Source organism: Homo sapiens, chromosome 1, assembly GCF_000001405.40.
Source record: "Homo sapiens chromosome 1, GRCh38.p14 Primary Assembly".
Lineage (NCBI taxonomy): Eukaryota > Metazoa > Chordata > Mammalia > Primates > Hominidae > Homo > Homo sapiens.
The window spans coordinates 49,422,088-49,436,850 of NC_000001.11; the positions used below are offsets into that span (position 1 = coordinate 49,422,088).

General features: G+C 37.4%; 1 protein-coding gene and 1 long non-coding RNA gene across 11 annotated transcripts in view; both read right to left on the bottom strand.

The window, feature by feature from the left end:
- The window catches only part of AGBL4 (AGBL carboxypeptidase 4), a 1,501,444-nt gene that overhangs the window by 899,577 nt on the left and 587,104 nt on the right, over positions 1-14,763 (bottom strand). The gene's annotated exons all lie outside the window — the stretch shown is intronic.
- Positions 1-14,763, bottom strand: part of AGBL4-IT1 (AGBL4 intronic transcript 1) — a 97,885-nt gene that overhangs the window by 47,887 nt on the left and 35,235 nt on the right. The window contains exon 3 of the long non-coding RNA NR_046839.1: positions 976-1,047. This is a non-coding gene — a long non-coding RNA (AGBL4 intronic transcript 1). The remainder of the gene's footprint in view (positions 1-975; positions 1,048-14,763) is intronic.

Sequence of the window (14,763 nt, forward strand, 5' to 3'; positions counted from 1 at the left end):
AGATAGTTACAAAATGCAAGAGTTCTAGGGCACTCTATAGCCATAGACTTTTTTAGACCAATTTCAGCAATATAGATGCAGGCACAAAAAATTATGAGATTTTTAATCCAATCATTTTTACATTAACTGTTCTTCAATGAGCCCAAAGCAAAACAACTCTGAGTATTATAACAGAAAATTTTGCTGTTAATTTCATTGGAGGAATAAAAGTGCATCAAACTGCTTCTCTGCACATCCTTAAAATTTGTGGTTTCTATGTCTTCACAAATAAATGGAGATATGATTTTCAGGGAAATTCATTTCCAAATTCTTTTTCATTTTCTTTCTGAATAAAGTTCTCAACTAGGTCATGCTGGCTGCTTAACTTTCAACTAGTTTCAAAAAATACTTCTTTGATTTTGAAAATTGGGCAATATATTTTTGATCAGAACAATTGAATTAATATGTATCAATGTGACCCAGAACTGCTGCTAACCTCCTTGTGTCACTCATCAAATGCAAAATCTAGATGTAAGTCCTTTGACTCATATATTTAAGCATACACCTTGCTATTTCATGCTTTCTTACTTTTGCTGGTGTCATCCTCCTACTTCAAATCCTACTTTCCCCTTCTTCACCCAGCTCACTCTTAAATATCCTTCAAAAATCAGTTTAAGTGTCACTTTCTTTAGGAAGCTATTCTTGATTCTCATCCCCACCCCCTTACCACAAACTAAGCTCCCCTCTTCTTCTCCCATAATTCCTGTGTTGATTTTTGTCACAGCACAATTACCCTTTATTATTAGTGTAACAAGGGCAATACCGTGTGCTCTCTAAACTCAAATTCCTTTTAATCTCAGGCACACAGCTAGACTACATTTCTCAGTCTTCCCTGCAGTTAGATAAGACTATGAACCAACTCTAGCAAATGTAGTGTGCACAAGAGATATGTTCACCTCTTCTAAGCCCAATCTTCCACATTCTTTCTTCCCTTACCTCCAATAGGATGCAAAGGTCTGGGTCCCCAATGTACTGTGGAGCTGAGTTACCCTACGAACCACATATATCCTATTAATAGAAGAGAAGTAAATTTTTATGTTAAGCCACAGAGGTTTGGGGGTTGTTTGTTGTAACTTACGCCAACTAATACAATAATCAAATATTTGTCTGTGTCTCCTCCTAGACTAAAAGCTTCTTCAAGACAGGGTTTGTCTTTTTTATTCATCTCTGTTTCTACAATATTTAGCAGGATGCTGGCAGAGAGTAGGTGCTCAGAAAGTATTTTAAAAATAAAAAATAAACATCCTGTAAGTTAACTGGAAATAGCTGCAATTCAGTGTTCCTAAGACAGGCATGAGAGGACAATGGAACAGAATACCCATGAATTATGTGAGGACCCAGAATTTCACAATAGAAATCAAGTTGGTAGAAAAGATATCCAGCAATTAACTAGGGCAACTAGGCCAGGCATGGTGGCTCACACCTGTAATCCCAGCACTTTGGGAGGCCAAGGTGGGCAGATCACCTGAAGTCAGGAGTTTAAGACCAGCCTCGCCAACAGGATGAAACCCCCTCTTTACTAAAAAGTACAAAAAATTAGCCAGGTGTGGTGGTACACACCTGTAGTCCCAGCTACTAGGGAAGCTGAGGCAGGAGAATCACCTGCACGTGGGAGGCGGAGGTTGCAGTGAGCTGAGATTGCACCACTGCACTCCAGCCTGGGTGACAGAGTAAGACTCGGCCAAAAAAAAAAAAAAAAAAAAAATTAGGGCAACTAACGTAAATGGTTTCCAAGACAATTCAGCATTAAGAGACACAGCCGAGCTCCCCAGCTCATTAGTGAATAAAATAGGCAAAATCCCTAATGTCAATGAGAAATGACCTTCAACTCTCTTAAATAAGATACTAGTACTGGTTAGTGCTAATTTGAATCTCTGCTTCCTTCTCTGGCCTGCTCTATGCCCTGGGAGGCACTTGTAGGAAACACATCCCCAACACCCTCTGGTCTGCTAAGAGGCTACCCAGACTGAGTAGGCAGTGGTGCCTTGAACAATGCCATTTTCGAAGACACTAAGAGAACCAAGATCTATGAGATACATTTCCAACCTATGTCCAACACTTTAGCAGTTCATGATATATAAACAATATTAGATAGAGTCTGTCTATGCTTATGACGAAACAAACAAAGAAACAAACAGTTAAATAGAGCCAAATTCTTTCTATAAAGAATGAAAAATCCTGGATTTTTCCCCTCCTCCGCTCTTGGAGATTGCCTTCACTAGAAGGTAGCCATTATTGAGGCAGTTATATTAGTCCTGCCTTAGGCAGACCCAGAATGCTTTGTTTTGTCCTGTTAAATGAAAGAGAAACCAAAAATTACCAGTAATTTCACTGGGAAAGTAAGAAAATGTAATTGTGAGAAATATCCTAGGCAGCTCAGTAAATAATTATGCACACAACAGACTAACATTTGAAATTAAGGGTACTTATTTTAATTGAACATCTCAACTGTTGTATTTATACAACGAAATGTGTGAGGGAAATTAACCCAGTTCCAGCAAGGCCTCATATCTTTGTGGAAAATACTCATCTTCAAGCCTCTGTATTCTTCTGTACCTGGTGTAGCCAGTGTTTAAAGCCCACGAGGTTTACAATGCATGCTCTTATTTATAGATACTCCAGGTATTAGAAGGCTCTTGTGGTCTAATTCAGTCACTGAGGAGAGTGATGGGGACTCGCAGCACTGTTTTGCAGAGTTACAGAGTCAGGGGAATGAATGCTCTGTGCCTGGAGTTGAAGTGAAATTTACTTCCTAGGTAAGTATGAGGCCTGGTGAGGAAATGAAGATCTGGCCCCAGGGAGAGGAAATGAGGACATAAGAGCCTGGAAGGAAAAAGGTAACCAGCTAATCTGATGAGTCAACTTTACTCTAAATCTAATGAAACTCAAGTTTCAGGAGCCCCCTACTTGCACAGGTCCCTTTTAAGAACCTGAAATGACCCAGGAAATGTGGTTAATGAATGTCAACAAAAAGAATCGAAGATTAGTCATGGAACAAGAAAACATGAAATGTTCTAAAATCTTAAAGTTTATGTACGAAGAAAACTTGATAAAGTTTCCTAACTTACATAATAATTCTAAAATTTTACATTATGAGTCACAATGCTGAAATAAACTTTAAAAACTATCAATAATAAAAAACATTTGCTCTACCATGTTAAAGAAAGGACCAAATTGGCTTTTTATTCTCTTTAGAAAATGATGTGACAGAATCATAGTCATATGAAAAGGTGGTCAAAGAATGTGCAGCCAAAAGTGTAGGAAAAATTATTATATAAGTGTTTCAGGAGGTTAATTAATAAAAATATGCTATTTTAAATATTTTGTAATATTTATAGCATTTAAAATACTTTAAAGATTTGTAAGCTTTAAAAAATGTGTAATTTATTGTTTCTTTTCTTATTCTAGCTCAATACTAGCTTTCGGACCTAAGTTTTTATTTGTAATACATATATTTTTGTCTTAAAGCAGCCCATCAAGTTAAATAAGCTTAAGTCCCTGCAAACTTGGATGCACCCCTGCTCATACATATTAATTACTTTCAATGTCAGATCCCTCTGCCAGTGCCTGGCTCAACTTAGCTATAGCCCCTCTCATCTCTGCCTCATGACCAAAGTAGAGACCAGGGGTGAGGGGGTGAGAGGAGAAACTCTGGGGTTGAAGCCAGTATAGGAAGAGCAATATGGTACAATGTAAAGTGCATGGTACAGTACATAGTCTTTGTCACATGGAACTGGGCTTGAATCCAGCTTTTTTCACAAGTGATTGCTCATCTGTTCCTTGTCATCTTTGAGGAAACTGAGGCTCTGTGACGCCTGGCAAGTTCATTAACCTCACTGAGCCTCAGTTGCCTTCCCCAAGATGATAATGAACAGATGAGCTAATAGTTGTTAAAGAAGCATTTGGTAAGCTGCATATTTTTCATATGAGAGTGTTAAGAGTAAGTCAAAAAAGATTTACTTAGTATTTTATTGTTATTTTTCAAGTCCTTACCTTTCATAAACGCATATTGAAATATTTATGGAATAAATAATACAATGCGTGGGATTCTCTTCAAAATAATACAGCGGGAGAGGGGTTAGAAGAAATGAGTAGTGATAAAATGAAAAGTCATTGGCCATGAGTTAACATTATTGCAGCTGGATTATGGGTACATGAGGTAAATTATACTATTTCTGTTTACTTATGCATGCGGAATAAAAAGTGAAAAAACAAAACAAAATAAAACCAATCTATTGAATATCACCCTGGATGCAATTGGAGCTTTATTCTGGCCCTTTCTCCATTTATCTCCTGAAATTTACTGTTTGCTCCATTTATTTTAAACTTTTCTGTTAACTATATAAACCAAAAATCATAATGGTGTGGCAATAATATTAATAATAATTAATAAGAGCAATAGCTTCTGCCTATTTAATACTTGTTCTGTGCCTGCCCCAGTGCAAAGTAATTTACTTTCATATTTCAGTTGAGCAATAGCTTCTACTTATTTAATACTTGTTCTGTGCCTGCCCCAGTGCAAAGTAATTTACTTTCATATTTCATTTGACCTTCACAAGAATTCTATGAAGTAGGTACTACTACTTATTTTACAGATGAGGAAACTGAGAGTCAGGAGGATTAAGTAGCCTGACCAGAGTCTACAGAAAGTATTATGTTCAGATCTTCTACCTTTCCTGTGTCCTAGACTATGCTTTATACTCTGAGAAGACGTCATGCTACAGTAGGCTACTATCTAGCTGGAGAAGAAGGAAGTGTTGAAAAAGCCAAGGAAATGGCCCTAAGTTTTCTCTGTTATCATATACCAAATCTGAAGAATAGACATTACATGTCCTCCTTATACATGCTGTATTGTGCAAGGCCAGAAGGACACACAACTTTCCTCTCGTGAGCTTACATCCAAACAAGAGAACACAAATGTCAACAGATGTAGTGAGGCATTTATTTTTTGAAGTAAGAAGGAAAAAGGATGTAACAACAATAAAACAAGCAGAAGGAAAGAAAGAAAAAACATTGATTGAGCACCAATAGTACTTGGTACTTGACATATGCAATATATTGCTATTGACAACCACAAGTCCTTCAGAGAAAGGTGGATCTTGCTAAGTAAACAGACTTTTTGTTCTGCTGAGCACCTCAAAGGTGGGCCTTGAAGAGAATGTGGGCTAGGACCCGAGAGAGTTGAATGTTCTACAGAATATAGGGAGAATTTAGAATTTAGAAAGAAAGGATAATCTGAGAGGAGAAAAAAAGGAAACCTTCAGAAGGGTAAAGCTTGGAATACCATGAGGGATAATGTAGAGAATGAAAACAATTTCCTGGTGGTGTGTCTGGAATTGGTTCCTTCCGGTGGGTTCTTGGTCTCGCTGACTTCAAGAATGAAGCCACGGACCCTTGCAGTGAGTGTTACAGTTCTTAAAGATGGTGTGTCCAGAGTTTGTTCCTTCAGATGTTCAGATGTGTCCGGAGTTTCTTCCTTCCGGTGGGTTCGTGGTCTCAGTTGACTTCAGGAGTGAAGTCACAGACCTTCGCAGTGAATGTTACAGCTCATAAAGGTGGTGAGGACCCAAAGAGTGAGGAGCAGCAAGGTTTATTGTGAAGAACAAAAGAAGAAAGTTTCCACGGCGCAGAATGGGACCTGAGCAGGTTGCTGCTGCTGGCTGGGTGGCCAGCTTTTATTCCCTTATTTGGCCCCGCCCACATCCTGCTAATTGGTCCATTTTACAGAGTGCTGATTGGTCCGTTTTTACAGAGTGCTGATTGGTGCATTTACAAACCTTTAGCTAGACACAGTGCTGATTGGTGCATTTTTACAGAGTGCTGACTGGTGAGTTTACAAACCTTTAGCTACACACAGAGTGCTGATTGGTGCGTTTTTACAGAGTGCTGATTGGTGCATTTACAAACCTTTAGCTAGACACAGAGCACTGATTGGTGTGTTTATAATCCTTTAGCTAGACAGAAAAGTTCTCGAAGTCCCCACCCCACCCAGGAGCCCAGCTGGCTTCACCCCTCAGTGGCACATTGGCTAATGAACTATTTTTAGTTACTAACTTTTTTTCCACATAAAAAATATCAGGAAGCTTGCTTGTAAACAACTTGGGGACCACACTATAAGTGTTCAGTTAATGTTTTGTTTTATTTTTCTTTCTAGTTCCACAGATTCATAGTGGGCAAAAGGGGAAAATATTGAATTTCACACTAGTCATGTGACTACAAAACTAGATATTCCAAAAAGATTCCAGATGGCTAAGCTTGGGTTCCATTGTAGCATTTCTAATAAAACTGAGAATGCCACAGGGACGTGAAGGAAGAGGAGAAAGTGACCAGAGATTCACAGAAAATACTGACCTGATGTTTTGGATTGGTTGTGAATAATAGCAGCAGAGGTCTAGCCAGCTGACTAGAACTGAAGTGGCTCAGTGACTCTCCTGCCTGGAGTTTACTTGGCAAGGAGGTTTCTGAATCTTCCATCCAGATCCTTCTCAATTCTAAGATGCAGATTCAGATTATTAAGATGCAAAAATATTATTCTGTTTAGGGCAACACTCTACCATCAGGTCAGTAGTAAAAGTATTTTGAGTTTCCCCAGAATAAGCAAAACCTACGGTGCCCCATTCGTTGGACTAGGCCATTTTGTGCATCCAAAGAGACTGAGGCAGAGCCAATCTGGTTCACTTTAAGCAGGAAGCAGTTGCATTATTCCTCATCCATGGCCTTAGCAATTTGCTCTCAGTTGGCCACTATAAGATCATTTCCTATCACCTGGATATTTGTATTTACAGGGAGTTTATTTTTTCCCAAATTTGCCAGCCATTCTGGCCAAAGAAATTTTTATAATACAGCACTGAGTAGTTCTTGATGAGCTACCACAGGCTGATGTATCTGCTGGGATAAATAGGAGAGTTAAATTACAAATTATATGTTCCAGACTGGAAGAACTTAGAATTCATTCCAGTGAAAATCTTTCCAATAGTGTTCTATAGCAATTCTGTGGATTCTTTATACTCTAGCTAGAAGAGACCAAACTGTTCCTTTAAAGAGCCAGATGATAAATATTTTTTACTTTGTGGGTTATACAGTGTCCATAACAGCTCAGTCTCTGAAAAGGCTTTTCAAATATAAAAATTTACATCAATAGTTAGGCTCCCATAAGAATGAAAGGTCTGTCTGGCAATGATCCTGAGAACACGCTTAGTGAATTTCTGGCCTATGTTCTTGGTACTCAGGAAGGAGGCAGAGGATGCTATAAATAATATATGTGTAGTATTAATAATGCCAGTTAAAGAATTTTTAAGAAGAGATAGGTCTAATATTCAATTTGAAATTTTCTATGCTATAATATAAATCTACCCTTATTTCTTCAAATACTAAAATCAGCTGCATATTCAAATGTCTGTGTGAGTGAAGTTTGAGGGAAAATTGACTTAGTTCAGGTTCTCATCTTTTCTTCTGTTACTACCTTACTCATCTCCCTGCCACTACTTCTATCTGTCTCCAATGTATTCTCCCTACATGATTTTTTAAAAAATAAGAACCTTATCTTATCACTCTTCTGCTTTAAATCCTCACTAGCTGCCCTTGGGTTTCAGGAAAAGTCCAAACTCTTCAGTATGATATTTAAAATCCCTTATTAACTCTACAGCCTTATGCTCTGCTACTTCTCTCTCTCTTCACAGGCTATACTCCTGACACAGTAAAGTATTTGCAGTTCTTTGAATATATTTTTTTTTTTTTTTTGAGACAGAGTCTCTGTCACCCAGGCTGGAATGAAGCAGCCTAATCAGGGCTTACTACAGCCTTAACCTCCTGGGCTCAAGCGATCCTCCTACCTCAGTCCCCAAAGTAGCTGGGACTACAGGCAAGCATCACCATGCCTGGCTAATGTTTTTGTATTTTTTGTAAAGATGAGGTTTCACCATGCTGCCCAGGCTGGTCTCAAACTCAAACTCCTGAGCTCAAGCAATCCACCTGCCTCGGCCTCCAAAAGTGCTGGGATTACAGGCGTGAGACACCATGCCCGGCCACATATACCATTTCCTTGTTCACCTCAGATACTTCTCAAATGGAGCTCCATCTGCTTGAAATGCCCTTCCTATTAGTCTTTGCCTGTGTAATTGCTATCTTTCAGACATAGGTCTTATGTCACCTGTCCCAGGCTCCCTTCTCTGATTCCCAAGTCCACACAATCTAGCTTGGGTGTTTTGTTTGACTTTAGAAAAATACCCGGTACTTATTTCTGCATGTTGTACTGTATTATCATTGATTTTTTCTTTTCCCTAGCTCACCCATGTGAATTCCTTGAGCATGAGAAGGAAATTTTCTTTGCTTCTGTATCAGCAGACCCTAGTATGGGCCTGGTACAGAGTAAGTGCACAGTATATAATTTTGAATAAACAAATTAAATTAATAATAGTTACTTTAGGTAGGAAACAGACACCATCTCAAACTCTGAAAGAGCAGAGTTAGAATATGTCTAAAGGTATAGAAGTAAACATACTTTAAATTGCATTAAATTATAACGTAGATACAGAAAAGTACGTGTATCATAAGTATAAACTTAATTAATTATTTTCATAATCTGAACACATCTGTGAAACTAGCACTCAGATCCAAAGCCAGAATATAACCAGTACCCTACAAATTCTCTACTTATGCTCCCTTCCCATTGCTAGCCATAGCAAGGATAACCAATGCCCTCACTTCTAATGCCTGGCTTAGTTTTGCATGCTTTTACACAACATGCAAATATAATCATACAGTTGATACTCTTTTATGTTGGCTCTTTACACTCAATATTATGTTTGTGAAATGTATCTATATTGTTGCACATAGGTGTAGATCACTAATTCTCATGGCTGCATAGCATGCCAATGTGTAAATATAACATAATTTATTTATCCGTTGTATTGCTGATGGACATTGAGGTAGTTTTCAGCATGGACATATAATAAATAGTGCTGCTATGGGCATGTGTTTTGGTAAACATTAATATACATTTCTGTTGAGTATATACTACTAGGAGTGTAATTTCTGGGTCAGAGGGTATACATATATTCAGCTTTAGAAGACACTGCCAAATAGTTTTCTGAGGTAATTGCACCAATGCAGAACTTCTTTTAATTCATGAGATATGTTAAGTTCATAAAAAAACTCCATGTAAATATAAAGTACTATTATTAACTCAATGCCTCATTTGCAGAAGATCATCTTGTTCCACAGCAATTAAAAATAACATCTTTGATTAGATGAAATCAAATATCTACTGGGAACTGTATTTATAATCTAGATGTGTCACACTCTTTTCTCTAATCAAAATTAAGTTTAGACATGTCTTCAAATGTGTCAGTGGAAAGACAAACGCTGGTGTCCTGTTTTTTTAAAAGCATATTAGGTCATATATGTTTGGTATCCAGTCAAGACTTTCTTTAACAATGTCCCGGTTTATCAAGTGATTGAGAAGGACACCAGCAAATCCAGCATTTTGTACATCTCCATTGTACATTTTGCTGTAATCATGTATTTTTTTAAAAAAATATGACCCACTAATTCCTAGAATTTATTTCAACATAAACATTCCGTGGAGAAATGATTCACTTCTTTGCATTAATTATTTTAAACTTTACATCTGCTATTAAACTTATAATAGTACAGAAAAAATGCTTGAAAAAAGAGAAAATATGTAGGATAAAGAATAAGATAAAAATCACTGGTAATACTGTGGCAGGCCAGGTCTCACTAATACAGGCCTCCATAACAACTGTTTCAGTACTGACTGAGTGGTTAAGTTAAATATTAAGACCTAAAAAACAGCTATTGCCCTTGTACAAAGTCTGGGATGTAACAAAAGCCCACCAATAATTTTTCCTAGGCCTTTCCTGGGCCTTAAAGCATGACAAAATAATGAAGGAATTTTTTATATGACCCATTTAGGATTAAACAAGTTTATTGAGGGTCTGAAGGAACTCCATAACCCTCCGTGATTTAGCAGGAGACAAGATAAGGGTAATCACCCCAGCACCTGGACCTATTTACATTAAGTAAATTTACTGAGGCTCCAGAGGAAGGTCTTCAGGACTCAGACCTTAATTATAGATTAAAAGAAGTTAATTACTAATGTCTTTAGATGAATGCACACTTACACGTAGACATATAGCTTAGCAGGTATATAAGCTCTGGAAAACTTTGTAATTTTGAGTTGGTCTGGCGATAATTTCCAGGCCTTCTTCTTGGAATTTCCAATTCCAACTGGTTGCAGGAATAAAAACTCTCTTCCTCCCCATCTCTTCCTCTGCATCTTGTTATTGGGCCACAAGAAATAACAGCCCAACCCTCAGTTTGGTCCAGGGACAATACTACTGCATATAGAACTTTTAAACTACAATACATATTCCTTCATATTTTTCCTATGTATTCTTGCATATATGTATGTGTTTTTATAAAATAGAATCATATTATTTTTATAAAATAGAATCATACTATACATCTATTTTACATGGTTTTACTTTTTATATTATATAAATCTCTCCATATCAATTTACATCAAACTTTAAAGCTCAAACAAAATGGCATATTAGCAAGTTGTTACATTGTGAAACATGAATTTGTTCTTTCTCCCTGTTTATTGACATACAGCTACTAAAATCCTTGTAATCTCAAAAGTTGTAAGTGTCTTTTGTATGTTAATGATTGATGGTCTAGAGCACTTGGATAGCTTTAGGATTGGGGCTGGTCATTGAACATACCAAAGAGGCATGATTAAAGGGTTGGGACATTCAGTTGCAGTCCCCAACCTTCAGGGAGAGGAGAGGAGCAGAAAGCTAAACTGATAATCTAATGGCCAATGATTTAATCAATCATGCCTACATAATGAAGCCTCCAAAAAACCCAAAGGGACTTGGTTCTAGGGCTGACCAAGTGGAGGTTCCTGGAGGGTGGTACACCTGGAGACGTCATGGAAGCTCTGTGCCTTTTCTCCCACACCTTGCCCTATGCATCTCTTTTCATCTGTATACTTTATAATATCCTTTATAACAAACTGGTAAAGGAAAGTGTTTTCCCAAGTTTTGTGAGCCACTCTAGGAAATTAACCAAACCCAAAGAGAGGGTCATCATGGGAATCCCAATTTGTAGCCAATCAGAAGCATAGGTAAAATGACCTTGGCTTGTGACTGGCGTAGGAAGTGGGGGCAGTCTTGTGGGACTGAACTCTCAATCTGTGGTATCTGACACTATCTCTGATACTGTAGTGTCATAATTGAATTGAATTAGAGGACACCCAACTGGTGTCCACTACAGAACTGATTGCTTGCTTGGTGTGTGGGGAAATACATATTTGGTCACAGAAGTGTTCTGTGATGATTGTTGAGTGAGAGAATAGGAACACACTTTAGTTTTTTCCTATGTTTCTCACAAGTAGTTATCATTTTAAGCAATAGATAAATACCCATTTTTCCACAAATATTATGAAAGCATATAATAAATACAGCACAGGTTAGATTCTATGGGTATTGGTATATGTCACTGGAAGGATAATTTTAATGACAAAATAAGCCGGATTTGAATCTTGATTCTACCTTTTTAGTAGTTGTATTGCTTGCAGCCAGTTATTTGGTATATTGAAGCCTAAGTTTACTTGTCAAAAAGTGATAAAATAGACTTCACATATTTGTCATGAGGATTGGGTTAAATATATAGAGAAATGCTTGACATGGTGCCTGGGACATAAAAGATGTTCAGTAAATTTGCTTGAATCTGAATCTGTGGGAAGCACAAAAAATTACAAGAAATTGCCACTGTCCTTCAGAAACTTATAATCCAACATCAGAGTTAGGGTGGTCAATAAAAGTCAGTAAGAGGAAGAAATAAATTTTCATTGATTAAATGCCTATTGTGTGAGGATCGTGCTATACACTTTCATTTTTAACATGAGAGACATCTCTGCCCTGGAACAAGATGCTCCAATCCCTGTAGCATATACTTGGGAGAAACTTCCTTCTGACAGGACACTGCTGAGAAGATTGCTGGATTGGTGGAGCAAAGGTCTTTGAAGCCTTAATGGGGAGAGGTAGTAGAAACAGAAATAAGAAGATCTGTCCTTTTATCAATCTGGATTGATAAGAAATCAATCCAGCAATAAGAAGATTGCTGGATTGGTGGAGCAAAGGTCTTTGAAGCCTTAATGGGGAGAGGTAGTAGAAACAGAAATAAGAAAATCTGTCCTTTCAACTGTTACCTATTTTGCAGAAGGTACAGATATGAATTCTACTTTTAGTAAATATTATACTTTTGTTCTGGGACAAAAAAGCCACTCAAATGGGCCTTTTGGTTAGGCAAAAGTAAAGCAAAGAACCACCTCTGACTTGAAAATGTTTGAGAGATTAAGGCTAGATTGAGAGAAACTGCTCTGCATAAAAACATGAAAGGTTATTCATGTCGTAGGTACAGATATATCTCAGAAGGCTGTTTATTTGGAGAAATGACTTGAAAGGATTTGGGGTTGCTATTCCAGCAAATTGCTATCTGTTCTTGTGGTGGTGGTGGTGGTAGTGGTGGTAGTGGTGGTGGTGGTGGTGGTGGTGCTGGTGGTGGTGGTGGTGGTGGTGGTGTGTGTGTGACTATATGGTAGCTTACAGAAAAAGTGTTTTGGGATAGGGGTTATAGAAAATGAGGGACAAAGAGTGTCACTTCAGATGTCCCAAGAACAAAATGAGGCACAAAGGTGATGGGAAGTTATTCTGTCCTCTGCAAAAGGGATTCCCATCTCACTCTGGCATTCCCAAGTATTGGAGGTCTCGAGGGCCCACAGAGACAGCACCCTTGCAATGACATTGGCACAAGTTCTTCTTTCCACCTGGAAGTCTCTCTTTCTCTCAGATTAGCTGTCTCCTTCTCATCCTTCAGCCTTCTTTTTATATGATTAACCTTAGAAAATGCCTTTCCTGAGTACTTCCTATTATTACATCTTACCGAACCTTATATTCTTTTGCTTCAGAGCACATATAACAGTTTGTTGTTACATATTTATTTGAGCATTCATTTACTTAATGTATGTCTTTTCAATATGCTCCATGGTACCAGAATTACGTCTGATTGTTCATCAAATCAGTGCTTAGAATTTTAATTTGCAATTAAGAATATTTATTGAATAAATGCATGCATCTAATCCAATATGGAGCATAAAAATAATTTCCTTGTTATTATGTTTATTGTCCCTCTCCTCTAACCAGTAGATAAGAGCTGTAAGAGCAGAGATTTATATTTTTTTCCATGGATGTATTCCCAGCATCCAGTATAGTGTGTGATGCAATAACTATTTGTTAAGTAAATAAATGAATGAATGGGTATCATGGCCACAGTGGTGATGATTAGGCTCCTTCAAGTACTTTGTTGGTCAGAGAACATGTGCTTGTGGGAATTGGATACCAAGAAGAGAAACATGTCAGAAGTCACATAGGATCTGTAGCTGACAGTCTGGTTTGAAAGCACATGTGAGACACACTCTTAAGGACTTCTGAAAATATCATAGGGTGCTTTCTAGGGAGAACTCAGAGTTCTATACAGGGCAAGAACAAAAACTCTGGGTTATCTGTGTTACTTTGAATAGATTCCTATCAAGTAACTGGGAAGGTTTGGTAGCTTGGGCTTATTCTTAAAGGTAGATATTATTTTCATTTTTAAATGAAGAAAATAGAGCTTAGTTAGATTAATTAAGTTCCCCCAATTCACCACACATCTAGTAAGTAGGGAGCTGAGATGTGAACTCTATCTTGTCTATCTCCAAAGCCCATGCTTTTTCTATTATGCTCTTCTACATTTGTAAGATAAAGCTATATGGACTAAATATGTCAAAGGTGCTGGATCTATAAAACATGCTAATGATGTTTGTGAGAGGGTGAGATTCATTCTGACCGATATGATTAGAGAGGAGTTTCTGGTGGATATGAAATTTGAGCTGAACAATAAGGATCAAGGATTGCAACAGATAAAAACAGAGAGAGGGGAAGTGTAGAAGAGGTAGCAGTGGATTAGAGGAAGTACAGTGAGGTATCAGAAGATGAGCAAGGATACAGTATAGGAAAAATGCATGAGTTTGAAAGAGAGTGGTCATCTAGAAGTCGGTAAGTATAACAGTGAGTGTTTCCTCAGAACTTTAGGACAAAAGAGAAATGAAATATCAAGATTAAATAAAAATATCTTAAATGCGAACTCACAGAAAAACATATTGCTCACATATGATTATAATTAGGTCAACAGCAGTACTCTCAAAAGCAATAATAGATTCCAGAAAACAATGCTACAAAATAAGAAGAGAAAATTTCTGCCAGTTTAGAATACTCACCTAAAGAATTAGAGGCACATAATATTTTTCAGACACAAAATAATCAAGAGAATTTATCATCCATATATCCTCATTGAAAGTACTAATAAAGGATTTACTTTCACACAAATAAAATTCAAGCTAGAAAGAAAGATTGGGAATGCAAGAACAAAGGGAAGAGAAAAAAAGTGTAACATATGTTAGCAAATCTATCTTTTGCCAATAAAAATAATACTTGTTCTGTATTTTTAAAAATATTTCACAGAAATTCTTAGGAAAGGAAGGGGGTGTAGTTCCGACGACAGCTTATTTAGACAGGCTAAGATTCCTACCTTGTTCCCAGGAAGAGAATAAACGTATTCAACAATTTTAGACTTTGTTATAAAAAACAAGTGGTTAAGAAT